Here is a 27179-nt window from a genome sequence, read left to right as displayed (position 1 = left end):
CACCTCCAAATGTCATGAGTGAGAAATACAGAATTCCTTCATCTGGCTGACAGCCTTTGACCTTGTCCATTTGACTATGAGAATGTAAGGCTTAGCCTTAAAAATTGTATAGAGACAGTCAGGGCAAGCTACATAATTTGTGGAGCCCAGTGTAAAATGAAAGCAGAAGAAAGGGTAGTTAATAATACTAAAATATAAAACTTTTTTCTTTATAACTATGTTATTAATTATAAAATATAATGGGGTAATAGCAATACACGAATGACAATCTGAACCTACAAGCTGAACAAATTAATATTTTGGTGTCATAATTTTCTATGATGCAATAAATAATAATATGTTGCTATGTGATATCCTAATTGATCATAAGCCGTTTTTTGGGGCTTGCTTTCTGCACATTCCTTTACTAGGTCATTATAAGTTATACTTTTAACAATTTCATCTTTAAGATTGCAAATCATTTTTGATAATTTTTACTTTGAGAAGAATCTTTTTACTGATACAACTGTCCCTAAAACTGTTGAGTATTTTACAGACTCCAACAACACTGGGATACATTTCTGATAAATTATTCTGAAATGTAAATTTTAGTACATCTAGAGCTGAAGATTCTTACAGAATAATTTTTCTAAAAAGATTTAAATTTTCATTCAAATCGGTCTTGGATAACTCTGATTTTAAATTTAAATTTATTAAATGTCATTTTTATGTTTCTCCTGACATTTCCTATAATTTTCAAGTCTTACAAGAAACGGAAAGTGGCTTTATGATTTATATGTAATTTAAAGCAATTCCATGGAGGTCTTGCTAATCCAGTGCAAATAGAGAGAGAGTCACTTCAGCTCATTACTCCATGGCTTACTACTTACATTGGCAGCAACAAAATACTTCATTTTAGTTGTAAGGGTTGTAAGTTGTAGCAAATATCATCTCTTTCATTTCTGGAATACGTAAATTACCTAGAATATTTTGGCTTAACTGTTTGTTTGGAGATTGATGCCAACTAAGACAAAGTGAGCATTGTCCTTATCAGAATCATCTTTATCAGAACTGGTCAGTTTTATCTAGAGAAAGCTTGTCCAACCTGCTTGCTCTAGGTTGAACGAGAGCAACCAGGAGCAAGCCACACATGGCCCAGGATGCAGCATGGGCCACATGCAGCCCAGGACAGCTTTGAATGTGGCTCAACACAAATTCATCAACTTTCTTAAAATATTATGAGATTTTGTGTGTGTGTGTGTGTTTTCTCATTGGTTATTTTGTGTGTTGGCGTATTTTGTGTGTGGCCCAAGATTGGACACCCCTGACCTAGAGTGAAATAAACTTCCATAAACACAGACTACATTTTGAACCCTCATCTCACAAATACAGATCTCTTGACACCAGGCAGAACAGGCAAGAAATTACAGCTTATCCAGCTCAAGCTAGCTTACCAGAGAAGTAATTCAAAGCCAAGAGATGCTTGCCTCATGCTGGTGAAATAGCTGCAGCAGCCACAGACTCTACCATCCTCACAATCAAACCTCAATCTTGGAAATCTCAAAATATCCCATTATATCTCGCTGGTTCTGAACTCCAATCCAAGCAGCCAATGGAATGTGATGTGCTCAGATCTGGGCATTTGCTTTGTCCAAACTATATGGATCAAGAACTGGGGAAGAGTAAATCCCCAAATACTCATTCATGAAAGTAGAATAAAAGTATGTAGGGAAATGAAAAGTGACAAAAGTGAAAAAAATTGGTGGCGGTAATAGAGGTTGCAGCATTCCCTTTGAATTAGAATTCAGCTTAGTGTAAGAGAGTGACTAAAGGCTTACACACACATCATTTGTCTCCAGACCCAGATTGCCATCAGCATTGACCAGATCACAATACTTGGCAGTAGGTTATTTCACCTTAACACTGCATTGCATATGCCTCAGTGGTAAGAGATTAAGAGCCATGATTAAAATCACACAGGGCATGATGATACCATATCAAATTGATAATGCTCCATGTAGAGGAAATAATAGTTTGATCCAACATTTATATATTTAGACACTTGGATTTGTATACCTAGTGGCTATTCTCAATCACAAATTGATTTTCCACTTGCTGAAATTCCATTCTTATCTTATTGTCCAGATCTTACTTTTCCACTAAAGAATGATTCTGGATTTCAGCAAAACCAATTTAGAAAACTTTCTGCCAAATAATAAGGCTGTTGAAGAAACCTACACTTTTGGTTTTGGTCTGCAGTGGTGGTACATTTTTCATGATCATGTGGGACGAATACTGAGATGGAGAAACTCCAATTTCTTTCCTTGTCCTCTAATTACAGTTGCTGCTAGGTGTCCTAAAGTTGAAACTTCCTTTACATATTGCCAAGAGAGAAAGAAAATATGCCTTCATTGGCTACTGTACTTAGAATGGCTTCTAAAACCAAGCAAGAAAACCACAGTGTTCTTGGCAGGCAAACAATTGAAAAGTACAGGTGCTGGGAGTGTGCACAGCCCCAAAATCAACATGACTTGGGAGGAGAGGGGTTAGATAACAAAGAAAGGTGCTTTTCATTCAGAGAAATTTATTTCTTTTAAATATTTGCAATCTACAGCCGATAGCACACGAGGCCACTTGGCATTATTTCCCAACAAAGGGGAGGGCTGGTGGTAATGAGCAGATGCTTGAGTGGCCTGTGGCGTGAGGTGCGCCATCCATCAAGAAGATCAATATTTACTGTTCTTGTATCTTTGTGGTGAAAGTTTGCACATCTTAAAAGAAAAAAGGTGGGGGTTGTGCTTTCATATATAGAGCATGGGTTTGACTTCAGGCAGTGAATCAACTAAAAGCCACAGTGTCTTCCCAGAGAGGAATCAGTACCCATCTCCCCTGCCCAATGAAGAAATGTAAGGTGTTTTAAGAAGCAAAATGCATCTGGTCCATGATATGGACTGTGTTTGTCTTCATTCATTCTTTTTCACTTCAGTAAATCATACCTTGATGAAAGGTGCAGTTTGAATATAATACTGCATTTCAAAATTTGTTTTAAAACATAAATTAATTCCATTCAGTTAAATTCAAAATGTATCAATGAATCAACATGACTCATGTATTAGGGACTGTGCTAGGCACTGGGCTGACCAATATGAAGAAGACGAGACTCACTGCCTTAGCTTTTTGGTGCCTCAGTTTTCCTACTTTGTCATACTTGGATCACAGAGGAGAGAGTCCTGTGAGATGGGGTTGAGGGCAAGAGATAAAAAGATGGTGGGTCATGACCAGCCTCCTATACCATAGAAAGGACTTTGTGTTTGGTTCTTTAGGTCAGAGTGTGATGGGCTGGGGATTTGTTAAAATTCAGATCCTGATCCAGCAGGTTTTAGGGTGAGGCCAGAGAATCTTCATAACTAACAAGCTCCCAGGTAACGTTGGTGATGCTGGGTCCTGAGCCACACTTGGAGAAATAAGAAGTTGATCATTTGTATCAGTCACCCGGGATGACTGCTAAGAGTGCACATCCCTAGGCTTATCCCCTTAGACATATGTGAATCAAAATTTGCATTTTAACATGTTCACCAGGTGATTTTTATGCATGATGCAGTTTGAGAACCACTGTTTAAATGGTGGGAAATCAATGAACACTATTAAGAAGGCCAGTGCCATATTTAAACTTGGGATTTAGAAAGATAATGTGAGAAAGAGAATTCAACGGAGGTGAACTGCAAGCAGGGATGTGGATGAAGATGCTAATAGGTGGCAGAGGACTGCAGAGGAGGGAATGGGACTGGAGGACATTGAGAGGGTGAGGTTGACAGGAAACGGCTGTGCATAGATCTGAGGGATAAGTGAGGAAGTGGAGGCCAGGGTGATCTTCTAGTTTCTCTTTTGGACACTTATATTGCTGGCTGTGCTTACTCTAAAATGTGGAAGCAGTATGGAATGGGGTTAAAAACATGGGCTTCAGAGTAAGAAAGAGTGGATTTGAGACTTGCTTTCAATACTTACTACTTCTGTAACTTTGATAAGTTACTTAGTTTTTCATCTGTAAAATTGGGGTAATAGTTGTTGCGGGATAGCATTAGCCCCATTTTGTAAAGGTAAAAACAGGAATAGAGAAGGTAAGTTGCCCTAGCTTGTATAGAGATCAGGATGTGGAGATGAGACTTGGATGTGGGCCTACATGATTTTATAACCCCTGCTCTGAATTGTCACCTCCAAGATTGCCCATGCACACATGCTGTCCAGATGGGCAGTGGCTCTAACCAAGTCAGGAAAAAAATTTTTGTCTCACTTTCTCTCAAGCCCTCTCTTGGAATCGCTGCTGTTCCTGTGGTACTCCTCTCTCTTTAAAATGGTAGAAATTCTCTCCCTTTCACTTATTTTAGCTCATCTGTGATGATTTTTAAGAAAGACTTTACTCAATATCAAGCAAATATAAAGAAAGAAAATGCTAGCAGCAAAAAAGTCTTATAAAGAAGGGGTTTCTGACCCTTCCTTAGTTAATCTCCCATGCTCCATGACTGGTACAACTGGATTGGGTCTCTCAAGTCCCAGCTGCCTCTTGCCATTTAAGAGGTGTGTGTCTTCTTAAGCTTCCGTCTCTGCCTCCTTGATCCACAGTAATGGAAAAGAGAGAGTTCCTACTCCAGTGCCCTCCTAGGAACCTCCCACTTAGCTTTTTTTCTGGTTTGAGGCACAAACCTTTTCCTCAGGGGTTGGGTAGAGTTGGGTGAGTGATAGGCCGTATGAAGTGACAAGATGAAAACCTTACCCTTTCAGTAGGATACTATTGCTTATGCAGGGATGATTTGATCCTGTACAGACTCAGTAAGTTAATGCTATCCTGAACACATAATATTCACAATATCCAAATAGTACTATCCATACTTTAATATCCAATATCCAAATCTATACAATATCCAAATCATCTGAATTGATAGTATCTAATCATATCCAAACAATAAAAATTACACATCAAACCAATGGGAAGTTGGTTCTGATTACATGTTTAATGAGTGGTTTTTATTTATTTATATTATTAATTTTTAACTTTTATTTTAGTTCAGGAGTACAAGTGCAGGTTTGTTATATGGTGAACTGTGTACCACAGGGGTTTGGTGTACAGACAACTTCCTCACCAGGTAATAAGCATAGTATCCCATAGGGTATTTTTTCTGATTCTTTCCCTCCTCCTCCACTCCACCCTCAAGTAGGCCCTAGTGCCTCTTGTTTCCCTTCTAGTATCCATGTTTTTTTGTTTTTAGCTTCCACTTATAAGTGAGAACATGTGGTATTTAGGCTTCTGTTTCTGTGTTAGTTTGCTTCAGATAATGGCCTCCGGCTTCATCCATATTGGTGCAAAAAACATGATCTCATTCTTTTTTATGGCTGCATAGTATTCCACGGTGTATATGTACCACATTTTCTTTATCCAGTCCAACATTGATAGGCATTTGGGTTGACTCCATGTCTTTGCTATTGTGAATAGTGCTGCAAGGAAGACACATGTGCATGTATCTTTATGTTAGAATGATTTATATTCCTTTGGGGGTATATATATCTAATAATGTGATTGCTGGATCAAATGATAATTCTATTTTAAGTTCTTTGAGAAAGTGCCATACTGCTTTCCACAATGGCTGAACTAAATTACACTCCCACCAGCAGTGTATAAGTGTTCCCTTTTCTCTGCAATCTTGCATCTGTTATTCTTTGACATTTAGTAATAGCCATTCTAACTGGTGCGAGATGGTATTTCATTGTGGTTTTGATTTGCATTTCTCTAATGATTAGTGATGTTGAGCATTTTTTCATTTGCTTGTTGGCCACATGTATGTCTTATTTTGAAAAGTTTCTGTTCAGGTCCTTTGTCCACTTTGTAATGGTGTTGTTTGTTTTTTGCTTGTAAATTTGTTTCAGTTCCTCATAGATTCTGGGTATTAGACCATTGTTGGAAGCATAGTTTGCAAATACTTTCTCCTTTTCTGTAGGTTGTCTGTTTACTCTGTTGATAGTTTCTTTTACTGTGTAGAAGCTATTTAGTTTAATTAGATCCCATTTGTCAATTTTTGTTTTTGTTGCAATTGCTTTTGGTGTCTTTCTCTTGAAATCTTTGCCAAGTCCTATGTCCAGAATGCTATTGCCTAGGTTATCTTTCTGGGTTTTTATAGTTTTAGGTTTTAGAATGAATAGTTTTTGATTTAAATCAAATTGGATCCTTACTTTTGACCTTATTTCATATTGTTTATCCAATATCTTTGTAGCTCTTTCTCCTCTTTATTTTCTGTTTTTGCCATTTCAAGGTGACAAAGCTTGATTTAAGAGCCTCCTCTCCCCCACCTTCTGACCCCCTTCCCTATCCCCTGCCTCTCCATTCTTTCACACACTGGCTGTTCCCAGTGCTTGGAATGACTCTCAACCAAGATCTCACATGGCTACTCCATCTGAGCCTGTGAATCTTTGTTTTCATGTCACCCTGTATGAAAATGTATCACCCTGTATGAAAATGTATCTCTTATTTTATGTTTTTCATCTTAGCAATAGAAAAATCACCATCCAATCTATTGTAGATATATTTGTTTTTTTTTGTCACTCTCCACTAATATGTCAATTTTGTGAGGGCAGAGACTTCTCCTCTTGTATCCCCACTGTCTAGAATAATATCTAGCATATAGTGTAACTGAATAAGATTTTTTTCAAAGAACAAATAATTAAGTTAATTAGCCTCTTTAATGAATACATAAGAGGAATGTGCATGTAAAGGTAACTAGAGTTAACTGTGATTGTTTTCAGGATTGTTTCATTTAAAGAATAAAGAAACAAAAATATTTTTAAAATGTCACTCACTTTAGGGAAGTAAGAGTGCTAGGTGGCATGAATTATTCTGGAGCCATTGACCTAATTTTTTTGTGTGTATTTTTCTCCTCTATCTTACAGCACATCCCTTGTTATGAAAGAACTTCAGTACCCTGCTCCAGATTCATTAATCACATGAAGAATTTCTCTGAATCTCCTAAATTTCGTAGTCTACACTTTCTGAATTTTCCAGGTAAATTAAGACATAATCCCAAGACAGACCAGAGTTTCCAAAGAAACTCTGGACTATGTACAGGTAATAATCATAAAGATTGTATTGAAGAACAGTTGTGCTATGTTTCAAAATGGCAACAAAAGAGGAAATTCATTGGCTCATGAAGTTAGTAAATCCAAAGATGGACTGGCTTAGGGCATGGCTGGATCCAGTGTTCACCAATAATATCATGATTAATTTCATTTTATTAATTTCCCCGTTGTCTTCACTAAGTTGGGTTTGTTTTCAAAAAGGATAGCAATAACATGCCCTGGCAGCTATAGGCATATTCGATTCTTAGAGCTTGTAATTTCAAAAGTACAGAAACGCTCTTCTTTCATTCATCTAGAACAGTCTCTACTGCTTATCCAATGGCTCTGATTGGCCAGACTTTGGTCTTATGTTCACCCCTGGAATCTAGGTAGCTGGGAGAATGGAATACACCAGTCAACATTTGCTACTTGTGTGGCAGGGGAGGTAGGCCACTTGATTGACAGCTGCACTTAAATTACACAAAATGTGTGTGTGTGTGTGTGTGTGTGTGTGTGAGAGAGAGAGACAGAAAGAGAGAGAAAGGCAGATAAAGAGAGAGAATAGTAGAAGGATGATTTCCCTAAATAAATTGATACAGGACAAGCAAAAGAACATCATTTTGTGTCAAGCCCAAAAGATATATAATTGTATTAGTTATATTCCCCATAACATTGTCACCATAGATGATTTTGACAACCTGCGACTGTCCATAAACTCCATTTTTAGGACCATTTCACTGACCTGAAAGGATATATTTAAATGTGCCTGTCCAATTTACTACCTAAGAGATAATGAAGTTTTTAGGACAACTGATAAAGCAGGTAACTGCTACATTTTCATTTGAACAACGCATTATTTTGAATGTGTTTATTCATTCACTTATATTTATATGCTAATAAAATTCATTACATATGTATTCATATCAGGGCCATTGAAAGGTTTAGTTGATTTTATAATGGCTTCAAACTCTTGGAGTAATGTAATTTTAATGAGTTTTTTGAGTATCACATTGTGGTACACACTCAAATTCTACTTAAAAAGAACTGAAAATTTTTTTGGGGGGGGATAATACATTTACATGGTTCAAAAACTAAAAATATAAAGAGGTACATAGTAGACAGTCTTTTTCCTACTTCTGCTCCAATCTGCCTCATTCCCCTTTCTCCCATGGGAAAACACTTTTACTGTTTTCTTGAGAATCCTTCAATATTTTCTCTAAGCAAAAAAGTGTGTTTATGAGCAAATGAAAGTATACAGATGAGCAGCGGTATTCTGCACCTCAGTCTTCACTTATCACTGTATCTTGGAGCTCTTCCCACGTCAGTGCATTGAGTGCTTTCTCATTCATTTTTCTTTTTTTTTCTTTCTTTATTTTCTTTTTTTTTTTATTTCCATAGTCTTTTGGGGAACAGGTGGTGTTTGGTTACATGAGTAAGTTCTTTAGTGGTGATTTGTGAGATTTTGGTGCACCCATCATCAGAGTATTATACACTGAACCCAATTTGTAGCCTTTTATCCCTCATCCACTTCCTACTATTTCCCCTGAATCCTCAAAGTCCCTCTATCATTCTTATGCCTTAGCATCCTCATAGCTTAGCTTCCACTTATGAGTGAGAACATACGACGTTTGGTTTTCCATTCCTGAGTTACTTCACTTAGAATAATAGTCTCCATTCCCATACAGGTTGCTGTGAATGCTATTAATTCATTCCTTTTTATGGCTGAGTAGTATTCCATCATATATATATCACGGTTTATCCACCCGTTGATTGATGGACATTTGGGCTGGTTCCACATTTTTGCAACTGTGAATTGTGCTTATATAAACAAGCATGTCCAAGAATCTTTTTCATATAATGACTTGTTTTCCTATGGGTAGATACCCAGTAGTGAGATTGCTGAATCAAATGGTAGTTCTACTTTTAGTTCTTTAAAGAATCTCCACACTGTTTTCCATAGCGGTTGCACTAGTTTACTTTCCCACCAGCAGTGTAGAAGTGTTCTCTTTTCACCACATCCATACCAACATCTATTATTTTTTGATTATGGCCATTCTTATGGGAGTAAGGTGGTATCGCATTGTGGTTTTGATTTGGATTTCCCTGATTATTAGTGTTGTTGAGCATTTTTTCATATGTTTGTTGGCCATTTGTATATCTTTTGAGAATTGTCTATTCATGTCCCTAGCCCACTTCTTGATGGGATTGTTTTTTTCTTGCTAATTTGTTTGAGTTTGTTTTAGATTCTGGATATTAGTCCTTTCTCAGATGTATAGATTGTGAAGATTTTCTCCCATTCTGTGGGTTGTCTGTTTACTCTGCTGACTTTTCGTTTTGCCATGCAAAAGCTCTTTAGTTTAATTAAGTTCTACCTATTTATCTTTGTTTTTATTGCATTTGCTTTTGGGTTCTTGGTCATGAAATCCTTGCTTAAGCCAATGTCTAGAAGGGTTTTTCCAATGTTATCTTCTAGAATTTTTATAGTGTTGGGTCTTAGATTTAACTCCTTGATCCATCTTGGGTAGAATTTTGTATAATGTGAGAGATGAGGATCCAGTTTCATTCTTCTACATGTGGCTTCCCAATTATCCCAGCACCATTTGTTGAATAGGGTGTCCTTTCCTCACTTTATGTTTTTGTTTGCTTTGTCAAAGATCAGCTGGCTGTAAGTATTTAGGTTTATCTCTGGGTTTGCTATTCTGTTCCATTGGTCTATGTGCATATTTTTATATTAGTACCATGCTGTTTTGGTGACTATGGCCTTACAGTATAGTTTGAAGTTGGGTAATGTAATGCTTCCAGATTTGTTCTTTTTGCTTGGTCTTGCTTTATCTATGCAGGCTCTTTTTTGGTTTCATATGATTTTTCTAGTTCCGTGAAGAATGATGGTGGTATTTTGATGGGAATTGCATTGAATTTGTAGATTGCTTTTGGCGGTATGGTCATTTTCACAGCATTGATTCTGCCCATCTGTGAACATGGGATGTGTTTCCATTTGTTTATGTGAACTACAATTTCTTTCAGCAGTATTTTGTAGTTTTCCTTGTAGAGGTCTTTCACCTCCTTGGTTAGGTATTCCTAAGTATTTTATTTTATTTTTGCAACTACTGTAAAAAGGGTTGAGTTTTTTATTTGATTCTTAGCTTGGTCACTATTGGTGTTTAGCAGAGCTACTAATTTGTGTACATTAATTTTGTATCCTGAAACTTTGTTGAATTCGTTTATCAGTTCTAGGAGCTTTCTAAAGGAGTCTTTAGGGTTTTCTAAGTATACAATCATATCATCAGCAAACAGCAACAGGTTTGACTTCCTTTTTACTGATTTGGATGCCCTTGATTTATTTCTCTTGTCTGATTGCTCTGGCTAGGACTTCCAGTACTATGTTGAATAGAAGTGTTGAGAGTGGGCATCCTTGTCTTGTTCCAGTTCTCAGAGGGAATACTTTCAACTTTTCCTCGTTCTGTAGTATGTTGGCTGTGAATTTGTCATAGGTGGCTTTTATTACATTGAGGCATGTCACTTGTATGCCAATTTTGCTGAGGGTTTTAATCATAAGGAGATATTGGATTTTGTCAAATGCTTTTTCTGCATCTACTGAGTTTATCATGTGATTTTTGTTTTTAATTCTGTTTGTGTGGTGTATCATATTTATTGACTGTCATATCTTAAACCATTCCTACATCCCTGGTATGAAACACATTTGATCATGGTGGATTATCTTTTTGATATGCTGTTGGATCTGGTTAGCTAGTATTTTGTTAAGGATTTTTGCATCTATGTTCATGAGGGATATTGGTCTGTATTTTTTTGTTATGCCCTTCCCTTGTTTTCATATTAGGGTGCTACTGGCTTCATAGAATGATTTAGGGAGGATTCCCTCTTTCTGTATCTTGTGGAATACTGTCAATAGGATTGGTACCAATTCTTTGAATGTCTGCTAGAATTCAACTGTGAATCTGCCTGGTTCTGGACTTTTTTTGGCTGGTAATTTTTAAAATATAATTTCAATCTCGCTGCTTGTTATTGTTCTGTTCAGGGTTTCTAATTCTTCCTGATTTAAGCTAGGAGGGTTGTGTATTTCTAGGAATGTATCCATCTCCTTTAGGTTTTCTATTTTATGTAGGTAAAAATGTTCATGCTAGCCTTGAATGATATTTTGTATTTCTCTGATGTTGGTTGTAATATCTCTCATTTTCTTTCCAATTGAGCTTATTTGGATCTTCTCTTCTCTTGGTTAATCTTGCTAATGGTCTATTAATTTTATTTATCTTTTCAAAGAACACACTTTTTGTTCATTTATTTTTATATTTCTTTTTTGTTTCAATTTCATTTAGTTCTGTTTTGATTTTTATTTCCTTTTTTCTGCTGGGTTTGGGTTTGGTTTGTTCTTTTTTCTCTAGTTCCTTGAGGTGTGACCTTAGATTGTCTATTTGTGCTCTTTTAGACTTTTTGATATAGGCATGTAAGAGTATAAACTTTCCTCCTTGCATCATATTTGCTGTATCCAGAGATTTTTATGGGTTGTGTCACTATTATTGTTTAGTTCAAAGAATTTTTAAATTTCTATCGATTTCGTTGTTGACCCAATGGTCATTCAGGAAGAGATTATTTAATTTCCATGTATTTGCATGGCTTTGAAAGTTCTTTCTGGAGTTGATTTCCAGTTTTATTCTGCTGTGGTCTGAGAGAGTACTTGATATAATGTCAACTTTCTTAAATGTATTGAGGCTTGTTTTGTGGCCTATCACATGGTCTATCTTGGAGAGAGTTCCATGCACTGATGAATGGAATGTATATTCTGCAGTTGTTGGGTAGAATGTTCTGTAAATATCTGTTAAGTCCATTTGTTCTAGGGTATAGTTTAAATCCATTGTTTCTTTGTTGACTTTCTGCCATGATGGCCTGTCTAGTGCTGTCAGTGGAGTATTGAAATCCTCCACTATTATTTTGTTGCTTTCTATCTCATTTCTTAGATCTAATAGTAACTGTATTATAAATTTGGGAGCTCCAGTGTCAGGTGCATATATATTTAGGATTGTGATATTTTCCTGTTGGATAAGACCTTTTATTATTACATAATGTCTGTCTTTGTCTTTTTTAAGTGTTGTTGCTTTATAATTTATTTTGTCTGATATAACAATAGCTATTTCTGTTTGCTTTTGGTGTCCATTTGTATGGAATGTCTTTCCACCCCTTTACCTTAAGTTTGTGTGAGTCCTATGTGTCAGGGGAGTCTCTTGAAGGCAGCAGATACTTGGTTGGTGAATTCTTATCCGTTCTGCAATTCTGTATCTTTTAAGTGGAGCATTTATGCAATTTACTTTCAATGTCAGTATTGAGATGTGAGGTACTAATCCATTAATTGTGCTATTCATTGCCTGTATACCTTGGTCTTTTTTAATTGTATTTTTGTTTTATAGTTCCTATGAGATTTATGCTTTAAAGAGGTCCTGTTTTGATGTTTCCAGGATTTCTTTCAAGATTTAGAGCTCCTTTTAGCAGTTTAGTGCTGGCTTGTTAGTGGCAAATTACTTCAGCATTTGTTTGTCTGAAAAAGAGTGTATCTTTCCTTTATTTATGAAGCTTAGTTTCACTGGATCCAAAATTCTTGGCTGATAATTGTTTTGTTTAGGGAGGCTGAAGAAAGGTTTCCAATCCATTCTGGCTTGTCAGGTTTCTGCTGAGAAATCCGCTGTTAATCTGACAGGTTTTCCTTCATAGGGTACCTGGTGCTTTTGCCTCATGGCTCTTATGATTCTTTCCTTTATCTTGACTTTAGGTAACCTAATGACAATGTGCCTAGGTGATGATCTTTTCACAGTGAATTTCCCAGGTGTTCTCTGAGCTTCTTGTATTTGGATGTCTAGGTCTCTAGCAAGGCCGGGGAAGATTTCCTCAGTTATTCCCCCAGATATGTTTTCCAAACTTTTAGATTTCTCTTCTTCCTCAGGAACACCAATATCCTTAGGTTTGGTCATTTAACATAATCCCAAACTTCTTGGAGGTGTTGTTCATTTTCTAAAATTCTTTTTTTGTTGTCTTTGTTGGATTGGGTTAATTTGAAAACCTTGTCTTCGAACTCTGAAGTTCTTGCTTCTGCTGTTTTTGATTCTATTGCTGAGACTTTCCAGGAGCTTTTGCATTTCTCTAAGTGTGTCCTTTATTTCCTGAAGTTGTGATTTTTTTCTTATGCTATCTATTTCACTGAGGATTTCTCCCTTCATTTCTTATATCATGTTTTCAATTTCCTTAAATTGGACTTCACCTTTTTCTGGTGCTCCTTAATTGACCTACTGAATTATTTTTCAGGTAAATAAGGGATTTGTTTTTTGGTTTGGATCCATTGCTGGTGAGCTAGTGTGATTTTTTTGGGGGGTGGTAAAGAACCTTGTTTTGTCATATTACCAGAATTGTTTTTCTGTTTCCTTCTCATTTGGGTAGGCTATGTCAGAGGGAAGATCTGGGGTTCAAGGCTGCTGTTCAGATTAAATTGTTCCATGGGGTGTTCCCTTGATGTAGTACTCTCCCCCTTTTCCTGGCAATGTGGCTTCCTGAGAGCTGAGCTGTAGTGATTGTTACTTCTCTTCTGGATCTAGCCACCCAGCAGGGCTACCAGGCTCCAGGCTGGTAATAAGGGTTGTCTACACAGAGTCCTGTGATGTGAACCTTTTGCAAATCTCTTAGCTGTGGAAACCAGCACCTACTCCAGTGGAGGTGGCAGGGGGGTAAAATGGACTCTGTGAGAATCCTTAATTTTGGTTGTTTAATGCACTGTTTTTGTGCTGGTTGGCCTCCTGCCAGGAAGTGGCACTTTCAAGAGGGCATCAGCTGTGGTAGTATAGTGAGGATCAGGCAGTAGGTGGGGGCTCTAGAACTCCCAGGAGAATATGCTTTTTGTCTTCAGCTACCAGGGTGGGTAGGGAAGGACCATCAGGTTGGGGAAGGGTTAGGTGTGTCTGAACTTAGACTCCCCTTGGGTGAGTCTTTCTGCAGCTGCTGTGGGGGATGGGGGTGTGATTCCCAGGTCAATGGAGTTATATTCCCAGGAAGATTATGGCTGCCTCTGCTGTGTCATGCAGGTAGTCAGGGAAGTGGGGGAAAGCTGGCAGTCACAGGCCTCACCCAGCTCCCATGCAACACAAAAGGCTAATCTCACTCCCACCGTAGGTACCAAGTTTGTTTCTAGGCAGTGGGTGAGCAGGGCTGAGAACTTTCCCTGGACTAGCAGCCTCTCAACTGAGAAAGCACTTAGGGCTTTTGCACCTCCCTGCCTGTTGAGTCTACTGGATTCCCCTCCTCTGAGTTCTGGCCAGGAGATTTCGCATTGGGTTGGAATTGCTACAAAGTTCAGCTGGAGGTTTCCTTCTCCCTGTGGTCTTTTCCCAGTACCTCTGGCAGCCCTCCCCAAGGAACCCTGTGAGGCAAGTCAGAAATTGCTTCCCAGGGACCTAGAGAGCCCACAGGGCTTTTCCTGCTGCTTCCTCTACCCCTGTATTTCACTCGGCTCTCTAAATTGACTCAGCTCCAGGTAAGGTCAAATCCTTTTCCCTTAATCTAGACCTTGAGGTTCCTCAGTGAGGGTGTGTGTTCGGGGGCAGATAATACCCCTTTCCCACTTTCACAACTTGGGCGCTCACAGTATTTGGGCTGTCTCCTGGGTCCTGCAGGAGGAAACCACTTTCTTCATAGGGTCTGTGGATTCTTTCGGCTTTCCTGGTATATTTCTGCAGTAGCTCTGGAGTAAAAGTTCATGATATAAGTCTCCACATGCTGCTCTGTCTGTCCCAGTGAGAGCTGCAATCTTGTCCTGCCTCCATACAACATTTTTTTCCCCCAGATCCCTGTTAAAGGCTTGCAGTTGGAAACTCAAATGGTGCAAGAGTATAAACTGGTACTGGAATCCAGAGCCTCATTCATTTTTCTTACAACTTCAGAGTAATATATTTTATGGATATACTTTAACTTATTTAGCTTGTGCCCTTTGATGAGCATTAGTGATTCCCCCAAAGGGCCCAATAAAATCATATGAATTTCATATTTCACGGCTTTGATGGCACATATTAAAAGTTGATTTTGACCTATCCTGCTTTTGATAGTTTTATGGAAAGAGTAATTTAGGCTTATTTCCAGCCTACTGTGGTAACTCAATAAAAGTAAATGCCAACTTCTTTATTCTTTTAAAAACACAATGGAGGAACAGAGAAAATAATTGCCACTATCACTAGCTGAAAAATATGTGACTTCAAGATTTGGTATACTAGGATCTTGAGAGTTGAGATTATGGGTATAACTTTGAGAAATAACATAGTTTATAATTACATGATTTGCTCTGATAGCCCTAAATTCCTTGATATTTGACTTAGATTTGGAGACATGAAGCCATTAGGCATGCTGGGATTGAGGAGGCACTGATGGGAGGGACTAGGAAGACAATAGGAACCCTCCAGAATGAGGGACTCACTTAGTTGGAGGTAGGAGTCATCCTTAGGACAGATGAGCAGCATTGTGGTTCTGGGAGCCATATCTGGATAGGAGCAGAGCCCTGCTAGTAGGTGGTGATTAGGGTTGAGCACCTGGGAATGGAGAAGAGCCATAGCTAGGTTGGTTGCTAGGCAATGGGAACCATTAATTTTTTTTTTTTTTAAGTTTTGCCCCTTCATCCACTGTCTCTAACTCCTGCTAGATATGATCAAGTTGCATGGGAGTGATGTAATTTGATCATATCTAGCAGCAGTTAGAGACAGTGGTTGAAGGGGCAAGACTACAGGTAGGAAAACTACTTTTGGAGCTATTACAATCATCTAAGTAAAAAACAACAAGGGCATGGATATGGCAGTAAGGGAAAGGGGATGACTAGGAGAACTACTTAGGAGGTAATATTCACAGGGCAGGATCATGGGTTAAAGCTGAGGATTCAGGGAGAAGGTCAAGTTGGGGAAGGGCTTACATATTCATTAAGTCATTCAACAAAGAAAAATCGATCACCTGTTAAACAACTGGCACCATGCTAGTTTCTGGAGACACAGAAGTGAGTAAGAGATGGGTTCCTGCCCTCTTGGAATATGCCTTTTGAGGAAGGCAACAATTAATAACTAAATAATAAATAAGCAAGATTATTACAGATTATAATGAAAGCTATGAAAAAAGAGGTGGATGAATTGTCTCATGCCCCTTCATAATCCACCCCTTCTCTACCCCAGCCCTGACAAATGCTGATTTGTTTTATGCCCTTATGATCTTACCTTTTCCAGAAAGTCATATAAATGAAACTATACAACATGTAATTTCTTAAATCAAACGTCTCATTTAGTGTAATGCATCCTTGTATATATATATATTCATAGTCCTTTTTATGGCTAAGTGGTCTTCCATTGTATGAATTCACTACAGTTTGTTTATTTGTCAGCTGAAGAACATTTGGGTTGTTTCAGTTTTTGTAAAACTTTTTGGAGAGTTCATTGAGGTGATGAAATGTTCTATAGCTTAATTTTGATAATGGTTACAAATCTGTGTGTTTGATGAAACACATATAGCTGGGAATTAAAAAGAGTGAATTTTACTCTACAAATTACACTTCAATGAACCAGATCTTTAAAAGCTATATACCTTAGACTTCTTTTAAAAAGGTAAGAAAAAGATAAAAAAAAAGATTATTGAATGAGAATAACCCAAGATTGAAGAGGATTGGGGCCATTTAAGATATGGAGGTCAGGGAAGAACTCTGAGGAATTGACATTTGGCCAGAGAGACAAGATATGTGTATTTATGTGTCTAAAAATTAGAAAAGAGACCAGTGTGGCCAGAAGAAGGAAAAGAGTAGCGTGATTTGAGATTAAGAGTCAAGTAGGGTCCAGACTATGAAGAACTTTCTAGGTTACAATGGGGAGTTTTGGATTTATTCTGGGCTCAGTGGGAGATTATTCAAGATTTTAGGTAGAGCTGTACCACTTCTTATTTACTTTAAAAAATGATCACACTGTTGTTGTCTGGATAATTAATTGTAGGGGGGAACAAGTGAGGAAGCAGGGAGTTCACAGTAAAAGTCCAAGTGAGAGATAAAGAAGAACCTGATGATGGTAATGACAGATGGGAATGAGTGGGTGAAGGATGGAGACAATTTTTAGATGGATAAAACCAGTAAACTTCACTAATGATTAAGATATTTAGATAAGGGTGAGGTAGGCATTCACAATAATTCTTGAGTTTTTTTGTTTTTTTTTTTGGTTTGAAACAATATGGGTGATGGTGATGGTACTGCCATTTACTGGGTTGGAGAATTGTTAGGTGAGGACCAGTTTTAGAAAGAAACATATAGAGTAGAATAAGACTTATGTCTTCTGTGGACTCAGTCACAAAGTCTGGGGGGTTTTTGGAGATTGCTATCTTGATTAACTTGGATGAATTGCTCTTACTCCTGAAATGGCTTATTCCAGATGCTGCCCTTGAATAACTCCAGTCATCTCATATCCCTGGGATCTCTCTATTCTTCTTAGGACTTGATTAAGTAAAATGCCACAAAATTGCAAAAATGTCCATGATAATTCATTGGTCTCTTGAATGTCACTCTTCCCATTAAGAGGTGGAGTTTATTTCTCTATCCTTTGGATCTCAGCTTGACCACATGACTTGTTCTGGCTAATGAAACATTAAAACATATTACATAAGTAGGTAATTTAAAAGTATTGGGGTTTGCCCTCTTGCTGATGGAAACCCTTATGTCATTCTATGAATGAGCCTAAGATGATGAGAAACATGGAGTCGTCACCCCAAATGACAGCAGACATGTGAGTGAAGCCCCTACTGTACCAACCAGTCTACCAATTTTTAGACATACAAGGTGGTCATCCTAAAATATCCAGCTTAAGATGAGCAGACTCAGAGCAGAACACCCCAGTCAACCGACAGAATCTTGGAAAATAATAATTTTAAAAAGTTATGTTTTAGAATGGTTTATTACACAGCAAACACTAATTGATAACAGCACCTAGAGTTTCAGTGGTGGTAAACAACCTCAGGCTTACTGCTGCCTAAATTTATTCTATGAATAACGTTGTTACTTGGCCTTATTTGTAAATGAATGCTACAGCAAATATAGCACCTGGCTGAACTGGCCAATGAAAGGGGTTAAAACTGATCCACAAAAGAAACTTGGAGTTTTTGGTGAAGACTGACTCCATGTTATTCCCTCATCAGTGGAGCATCAGCCCCTCATTTTTCTCTCCTAGTTATGATCATGATGTCAGATGCCAGGCCCAGTATGATGGCAATGATCAAAGAAGGAGTTTTCGGAGTCCCAAATGGCTGAGCAACTGGGACCTTGCCTGCAGCAGACAGATGGAGCATTCCTCTTATAACATACTTAACTCTTTGGTTAAAAGCAACAAATATGGATTTACTTAAAATAACAAGTAGGGATTAGATTGCTATTTTTGCATTAAGAAACCTCCCCATGTGGCATGAAGAGAACAGAAAATGGAACATTATAAAGCTACATCTCATTTCTTTTTATTATTATTATTATTTTTTATTTTATTATTATTATACTTTAAGTTTTAGGGTACATGTGCACAATGTGCAGTTTAGTTACATATGTACACATGTGCCATGCTGGTGTGCTGCACCCATTAACTCGTCATTTAGCATTAGGTATATCTCCTAATGCCATCCCTCTCCCTCCCCCCACCCCACAACAGTCCCCAGAGTGTGATGTTCCCCTTCCTGTGTCCATGTGTTCTCATTGTTCAATTCCCACCTATGAGTGAGAACATGCGGTGTTTGGTTTTTTTGTCCTTGCGATAGTTTACTGAGAATGATGATTTCCAATTTCATCCATGTCCCTACAAAGGACATGAACTCATCATTTTTTATGGCTGCATAGTATTCCATGGTGTATATAGTATTCCATGGTGTATATGTGCCACTCTACAATGAACTCAAACAAATTTACAAGAAAAAAACAAACAACCCCATCAAAAAGTGGGCGAAGGACATGAACAGACACTTCTCAAAAGAAGACATTTATGCAGCCAAAAAACACGTGAAAAAATGCTCACCATCACTGGCCATCAGAGAAATGCAAATCAAAAGCACAATGAGATACCATCTCACACCAGTTAGAATGGCAATCATTAAAAAGTCAGGAAACAACAGGTGCTGGAGAGGATGTGGAGAAATAGGAACACTTTTACACTGTTGGTGGGACTGTAAACTAGTTCAACCATTGTGGAAGTCAGTGTGGCAATTCCTCAGGGATCTAGAACTAGAAATACCATTTGACCCAGCCATCCCATTACTGGGTATATACCCAAAGGACTATAAATCATGCTGCTATAAAGACACATGGACACGTATGTTTATTGCGGCACTATTCACAATAGCAAAGACTTGGAACCAACCCAAATGTCCAACAATGATAGACTGGATTAAGCTACATCTAATTTCTTCCAGCTGAACAGAAGTTAACAAAGGAGACCATTTTGCCTAATACACCTGAATAGATACAGACATTCTAGTGGGCATGTTTAAAAAGGTTCCTGTTTGTTTGTGACTTAGAATTAAGATCTGAGCTAGAGTAAAAAGTTATGGAGTCATCAGGAGGTGATAAGCAATTCTTGAGAGTGGATGAGATGATCAAGAGAAGGGAGGAGGCATAAAAGGGAGGAAGCTGAGAAGCCATGTGACCTAGAAAGGTAGGGAAGGAACAGAAGCTAACAGGAGGCATTGTGGTTAGAAGCGCCCAGTCAGGAGTTAGACTTTTAAGTTTGAATTCCTAATTAGCCATTGACTTTGGGCTTAATGTCTCTGCACTTTACTTACCTTGAGTTAAAATGAGGATCATGATAATATCTAACTCCTAGGATTTATTGTGAGAGATGAATGTCACAATATAGTTAAAGTCCTTGAAACAGTGCCTGGCCCATATTTAATGTTCAGTAATTACTAGCATTATTTTTACTGCATTCAAAGGATTTCATGAGTTTCAAGAAAAGGGAAAGGATAGTTAGCATCCAATACTAAGGGAGGACAATTAAGAAATGTACTAAGAATGCCTATTTGATTTAACAGCTAGGATGTCTTGCTAAAATTGACAAAAACTGTTTTTCTAGAGTCATGGTGCTCAAACTAGGGTGCTGAGATGTGAGGAATGAGGAGGTGGTAAGGCTATTGGGGATCCAGGCCTAGCTCAACCACTGGCTGTGTGACCTTGTACAAACTGTTTAACCTCTCTGGGTTCATCTCCTTGGCTATACAGCAGGAGGAGGTAGAGGAAGAGACTGGATAATCGAATTCCCATTTAAAAAATATTCTTCAGTCAACTGATGAGAACCTGGATGGTCAACAAGCAGAATGTTGTAGAAATGATCATCTTCCTTTCAGATGGGCGGGTCAATGACCAGCCAAAATGTATGACATCTGACTTCTCATTTTCCTTCATGCTGCTGCCTTCAGAGCCAGATACATACACCAATACAGAAGTATATGCAGACAAGAGTGTATGCATGTATGTGCAAACACACCTACACATACAAACACAAATCACGCTCTTCAGAGATCCATATGGTAAGACTGCTCATAAGCAGATTATGCCACAGACCACAGATTTAGCCAACACTTACTGACAACTTGCTATGTGCTGAGTGCTCTGCTAGGAGCTGGGTATACACAGACATATTGGTCATGGTGATTTTTCTCAAAGGGGGAATACTCTAAGGACAAGGAAGCAGCTGACAATGAGTTCTATGATACAGTTCAACAAATATTTATTATTTTTAAATTTTTATTTGTAATGGGTACATAGTAATCGCACATATTTGAGGGGTACACTGTGATGTTTAATATATGTATTCATTTTGTAATGATACATCAGGGTAATTAGCTTATCCATCACTCAAACATGTATCATTTCTTTGGTGAGAACATTCAGAATCCCCTCTTCTAGTTATTTGATAATATACAATACAATATTGTTAACCATAGGCCAGGCATGGTGGTTCACACCTGAAATCCCAGCACTTTGAGAGACCAACCTGAGAAGATTGCTTCAGCCCAGGAATTTGAGACCAGCCTAGGCAATATAGTGAGACACCATCTCTACAAAACAAAACAAAACAATATTCTTAACTGTAGTTACCCTACCGTGTAATAGAATGCCCCAACTTATTCTTCCTATTTATCTATAATTTTATATGCATTTACCAATCTAACAAATATTTATTAAATGCTGACTCTGCACCAAACACTGTTCTGGGTACTGGAGGCAGCTATAGGAAAAATATGGATAAAGTCTTACAGTGTACAATTATTTCTAAAAGGGTGGCCTCACAAACTTTCAGATTTCTGATGAACCGCATTGATTGTTATCAAACAGTTGATCTCAGAATGTTACCTTGGAGGTCTCCCAGCTTCTGGCCTCAGTCTTTGAAGTAGCATAGGGACCATGACTTGGAGAAATGGGCAGATGGGAGGCTGAAAGGTGAGAGGGGAGCTGAGATCTCTTTTACTTGGGCTAGTCCAATTTCACTTGGAAGCCGTAATTCTCCCTAGAACTGAAAGGCATGTGCTTCTCATGTTTCTAAATGTGCTTTGGGAAGGTTTCTGTGACTGTTATCATACACCATCATTCTACTGGACTAATAGCAGCCTCAGACCAACTCCTTCTTTGAAAAGTCTCACAAATATTGGAGACTGCTGTATTGTAGACCACAGAGGTTTTGTGCAGATGACTCATTGTTGCTTCTCCTAGGTAGAATAAGAAGAGATGAAATGGATTCAAATCATCTTAGTTTGTACACGTATACTTCATGCTAGGTTTCAGAATCACATTATAGGCAACGGAAAGCGGTGAAGCCTGATTGAGCCTTGCTGGGTAACTCTCTCTCTCTGATTCCCTGAAGATTTCTTTCTCTTTCTTTGGCATATCCAAAGTCTCCCATTCCTCTCACACTAAAGCTTGTGAGAAACCTTTCAGATGCCGACAGGACTCTTTCAGGTTGCTCACCCTCGTGAAGGGCTGGTGGTTCCCACTGGATCCTTGAATATTTCTGCGTCATTCTCACCACTGTCTTGCGAAGTGTTTGGAGTGGGATTTTTCCATCCCTCCTGTTGGTGAAAACCACTTTTCATGGGTTGACAGAAATTTGCATTTGGGGGGTAGTTTTTAGCTGTTCAGCTTTTGGGGAGAAATGATGCAAATACAAACCTGGGGCTTAGTTCTTGGGAAATTCAGGAAGTGTCTCCCAGAGAGGGAGGGGGAGAAAGACAATTGTCAAAGTGCCTCTGCTACTGGCCCTCACATAAACACTCTTTCTCTTTTGTTCCTGCTGGACCCTGAAGAATAAAACTCAAGCACAAAGCAGAAGAGGTACTGGCAAGTGAATGCAGCAGTTTCCTAATCCATGTGGATCAAAACATGCAAGTTTTGATTCTGTAAACTATCTTCCTTAGCATGCTGGATTAATCACATGGATTAATAAAACACAGTCGCCTTCTCTCACTGGTGCCTTCAAGTCTTTGTACTTGCCCCCCACCCCCTCTTTTTTTTTTTAATCCAGTGGAACTCCATGAGAACAAAAGGGGTGACATTTTCTATGAGTACCACGGCCATCAGTCCATTGGTCCAAACCCTGTGGAAGGTAGGCTCTCTGCATTTCTCAGTGTGCAAAAGTCTTGTTTTGCGCCTTAGGGAAAACTCAAGGTGTCTTTTGGACTCTACATTTTGTGTAGTTTTGCTATGAGTGAAAAGTACCACAGTGAGGTTCTTTACTTGCAAACAAAAGCAAAGGCTAAATGAAAGGCATTTAGTACATGGTGATTAGGGCCTTGGTTAGTGAGTATGCATTTGTCTCAACTTTGTTTAGCCTGCTTACCTTTGATAAACCCACACTTCTCTGTTTTTTGGGACACGACCAGTTGGTCTATGTCTAATTCAACCACAGAAACAACTAACATTCCTTGAACTTGACTATGTGCCAGGTATTGTTATGACACTTTTCCTCAAGTGTCCATTTAATCCTCATAAAAAATCCTATGGCATAGTCATATTATTATCTCCATTTTCTGATAAAATAAGTGGTTGCATTGAGACAATTTAGATCTGGTACCCTTCATAGCCTGTGACTGTAACCCATGCTGCTATTCTTCCATGCCTGAAGCCTGTTTGTTTAAGCCTGTTTAATTGTGCCTTCAACAATTAGATTCATCTTCCCACTCTATGTTTTAATGTTTCTTAGTGCACGGGGACTTTAAAGAGGTAAGATAATATGGTAGATCATTTCCTGTTTCAGCCCACAGTTGCTGTTATTCATTAGTTAGAAAACCCTTATTGAAAGCCTCATAGGAAAAAATAATACAGAAGGAGAAAGGGATAGAGGGAGCAACTGAAAATGGGAGAAAAGCAAAGTCTTGAAATATACCAAGATATATGGATACTTTGATATCTGGTACTTGCTTGTTTTAGTGCCATTGTGATAGAGTGAAGCTACTTATTTTTATTTCTTCATAGTCTCTATCCTGCACAGCACCATCCCTCTTTCCTTCCCTCCATAGCGAGAATTCTCTTTTTCTCTTAGCCTACTTGGCCTCTGCTTCAAATTTACAAGTAAAGGAGAATTCTACCCTCACCAGTAAGCTCCTTGGCCTTTCTTAGGCAGATCAGGGCAATGGGTAAGTGAAGAACCAGGGAAACAGAGGAACAGGAAAAATTCCAAGAGTAAGAGAAGAAGAATTACAATGTCAAGTGGGGCAAAGAGGAAGGGCAAGGGAGCTTGTGGTGGTAGCTGGGTGAGGATGGGCTCCTGGGAGCTTGGAGCAGGGGAGGATTGTGGAGAGGAAGGGAGGGACAGTTTCTGTGTATATGGAAGAGAGAGTGATGGGGGAGAAAGAGAGGAAGAGGGTGGAGGGGAAGGGGGATAGAGAGGGAGAAAATGAGCAAAAGTTAAGAAAAGAGGCTTTTAAGGAATTTGTTGTGTCTTGTGAATCTAAACCTTCTTCAGTATTTCCTCAATAGACTGAAATTAAGATTTAAATTAATCTTCAATTATTTTTGGACACCAGTTAAAATTTATTTTATCAAGACTTCTAGACACATCTAGGCCAGAAGGAAGCACGAATGGGCTCTACTTCTTAGGGGTGACACATCTTAAAATCGCCAGGCTGTGTGCATATGTTCTACCCGACTTCTTCTTGGTCTGACTCTATCATTAAAATATGTGGGAAATGCCAGTTGTTTCTCCTCAGACATGTGTGAGGTAGCTGATACATTTATTCAGTTTCTATTCAAAATAGTATGCGTTGAATGTGCAAATCAATGGTGAAGGAGACATTGTCCTTGCCCTTTGATAAAAGAAAAATTTCAGCCAAATTAAATATAAAGGAGTTTAATTGAGCAATGAACAATTTGCGAATCAGGCAGCCTCCGTGACAGGGTAGGCTCTGAGGCTTCTGTGCAGCCATGTGGTAGAAGAAGATTTACAGACCGAAAAGGGAAAGTGGGAAACAAAAAACGGAAGTGAGGTACAGAAACAGTTGGATAGGTTACAGGTTGGCGTTTACCTTATTTAAACATGGTTCAAACAGTTGGCTACATTTGATTGCTTGGTGATTTGCACAAGTGTAGGCTGTGGTCTGCTTACACCTCAACTTGTTACAGTTCACGATGTACAGTAAAACCTTTAGGCTGAACTTAAAATATGTAAGGAGGCAGCTTTAGGCTAAACTTGATTTAACACCTTATAGAGCTTATTTTCTAGGGGAAGGAGCAGAAAATAAACCATTAAAATATACAAACAACGCAATTACAGATTGTGAAAGGGACTATAAGGAAGGTAAACTTGAAGTAACTTCCTGTGAAACTGACAGTTAAACCTGGATCTGAAAAGCAAGGACCTAGTTATACAAAGAACTCTGGAGAAAAAAAAAGTCTCAGTAATTTTTAGTGAAATATCTGGGAAATATATATTTAAATAAGATTTCCTCACTTCTCTCTTTTTGAAAATCCAGGTATTCAGACAGATTAGATTTACCTAATCTGAACAATACAGAGAGAAAATGGACTGAGAGAAAAGAACATTATCAAGGATGTGTGGGACAATAACAAAGTGCTAACATTTGCATTGTTGAGGTTCCTGCAGAAGAGTAGAAGGTGGGACTGAAAAAGTATAAGAGTTGCCTCTTATCCATGGGGGAAATACATTCCAAGATCCTCCCAGTGGACGACTGAAACTATGGATAATACCGGATCCTATATATACTATGTTTTCTCCTATACATAGATATGATGAAGTTTAATATATAAATTAGGCACAGTAAGAGATTAACTATAACTAATAATAAAATAGAACAATTATAACCTTACGCCAGTATCACTACTCTTGTGTGTTGGTGCCATTATTAACTAAAACAAGGATTACTTGAACACAAGCACTGCGATATTGTGACAGCTGATCTGATAACCAAGACGACTAGGAAGTGGCTAGTGGGCAGGTTGCATGTGCAGCATGGATACACTGGACAAAGGGGTGATTCACCTCTCAGGTGCGATGGAGCAAGATGGCACGAGATTTCATCATGCTTTTCAGAATGGTGCATAATTTAAAATGTATGTGTGGTTTATTTCCAGAATTTTCCATTTAATATTTTCAGACTGTGGTTGAGTGTGGATAACTGAAACCATGGAAAGTGAGATGGTAGATAAGGGGGTCTTCTGTATATGAAGAAATAATGGCTGGAAACTTCCTAAATTTGGTCATTATCTTATCTTCCTAAATTTGGTCATTATCTTATCTTCCTAAATTTGGTCATTTTAATCTTTTCCCAAATACATTTAACCCTTTCCACAATATTCTTCAATTTGTATTTTTATAATTGAAAAATTCATGAAAAAGTATATTTTAATTCCTTTGTAAAGCAAGGAATTTTGTGGACTATACTTACTCCTAATGCAACTTCTCATTTTTGTATATATAATTTAGAATTTGGACATTTTCAAGTAAAATTTTAAAGAAGAACATTTACTTGATATGTTTCCTGATCCTTTGCGTATCTTAAAAAACATTTTACCATTGTATTTCCATGTGAATAAAAATTTAACAAGAAGTAAAGTTATTTAGTGTTTGTAGATGTTAGGACATTGTCTTTGGCATTTGAAATTGCATAAAAAGAAGCATGGTACCAATCTTATTTTTGTACAGAAGTAGATGTTCTTTATTTTTCTACCAAGATACTTACACAGTTTTTCTTTATGAAAAAAAAGAGATGAAAAGTAAAATTTGCTAGGATAAGTTAATATAGGACTCCTTTAAATTAACTTTACTTAAAACACAGTGAACTCTTTTGGTTTGAATTATCAGGATTTTTCACCACATTATTTTTCTTAAATTATATCTTTGCTTATTGATTGGATTTCAGTTACTCTTTCTATGTTTTCAACAGGGAACTCCGAAATTTCCTAGGTTCCTCATCTTCCATCATATTTTCTATTCTCTCACAACTTTCATTTCTTTGTTCTTTTTTCTTCATTAAAGGTGGGCTTCTCAAGTTTGTTCTGCATATCGAGACTCTGTCAAGTACAACTAACAGAAGCTGCCATGCCCAGTGTAGAGATCCTGCCCTAGTTTCTCTCCTCTTCTCAAGATGGCCTCACATTCTAGAACAGCCCTCTTCCTGTGTCAGTGAGCAGACTCTTCTCAGAAGTTCTCAGCAGACTTCCCCTCAGATCTCACAGACTTTAACTAAGTCATGTGACCTCCTTTAAACTAATCACAGTAAGAGGAATGAGACTACCATTAGTAGAGACTTTCCCTTGAGCTGGGAAAAGGATGACTTACTTGAGGTATGGATATTGAATAAAAGGTGATTTCTGTTTGTGAAGAACATGATTTCTATTTGCATCAACAGTGTCTGCTGCATCCTCCTATTGATTTGATTTTGTCACTGTGTTGATTATTCAATTTATTCATCCATTTTGCTATTGGACATTTAATTTCCTTGCAATTGTTCCTTATCTCACCCTGCTCTGTTTTGTCTCTGCTGATTGGTCTTTGCTGTTCATCCTGTTGTTTTTAATCATCAAAAGCTCTTATATTGTCATTTTATCCTGTTCT

At 38.0% G+C, this 27179-nt stretch overlaps 1 protein-coding gene across 43 annotated transcripts in view, besides 1 other annotated feature; it reads left to right on the top strand.

Annotated features, from left to right (window-relative positions):
• The window catches only part of C12orf42 (chromosome 12 open reading frame 42), a 516167-nt gene that overhangs the window by 187877 nt on the left and 301111 nt on the right, over positions 1–27179 (top strand). For 40 of the 43 annotated variants that reach the window (XR_001748690.2, NR_170336.1, NR_170332.1 and 37 more), the window contains one exon: positions 6916–7027. The exons of 1 other annotated variant lie outside the window; for it this stretch is intronic. Coding sequence is in view for 29 of the 42 variants with exons in the window: in NM_001386867.1 (NP_001373796.1) it covers positions 6916–7027 (112 nt within the window). In the remaining 13 variants the exon portion in view is untranslated. Of the gene's footprint in view, positions 1–6915; positions 7028–7807; positions 7903–27179 lie in introns of all 43 variants that reach the window. 2 more of the 43 variants (NM_001278420.3, NM_001278419.3) reach the window with 1 other exon arrangement.
• Positions 25072–25241: an enhancer, noted in NCBI's record as "experimental_23171 CRE fragment used in MPRA reporter constructs". NCBI's record gives its function as "activates a minimal promoter by MPRAs in K562 erythroleukemia cells, with activity observed for the non-introgressed 12:103744536 variant allele {active_cell/tissue: K562}" and the evidence as "EXISTENCE:reporter gene assay evidence [ECO:0000049][PMID:34662402]".

The sequence above is a fragment of the Homo sapiens genome, chromosome 12 (assembly GCF_000001405.40).
Source record: "Homo sapiens chromosome 12, GRCh38.p14 Primary Assembly".
Lineage (NCBI taxonomy): Eukaryota > Metazoa > Chordata > Mammalia > Primates > Hominidae > Homo > Homo sapiens.
This window is presented reverse-complemented; position numbering and strand designations above follow the sequence as displayed.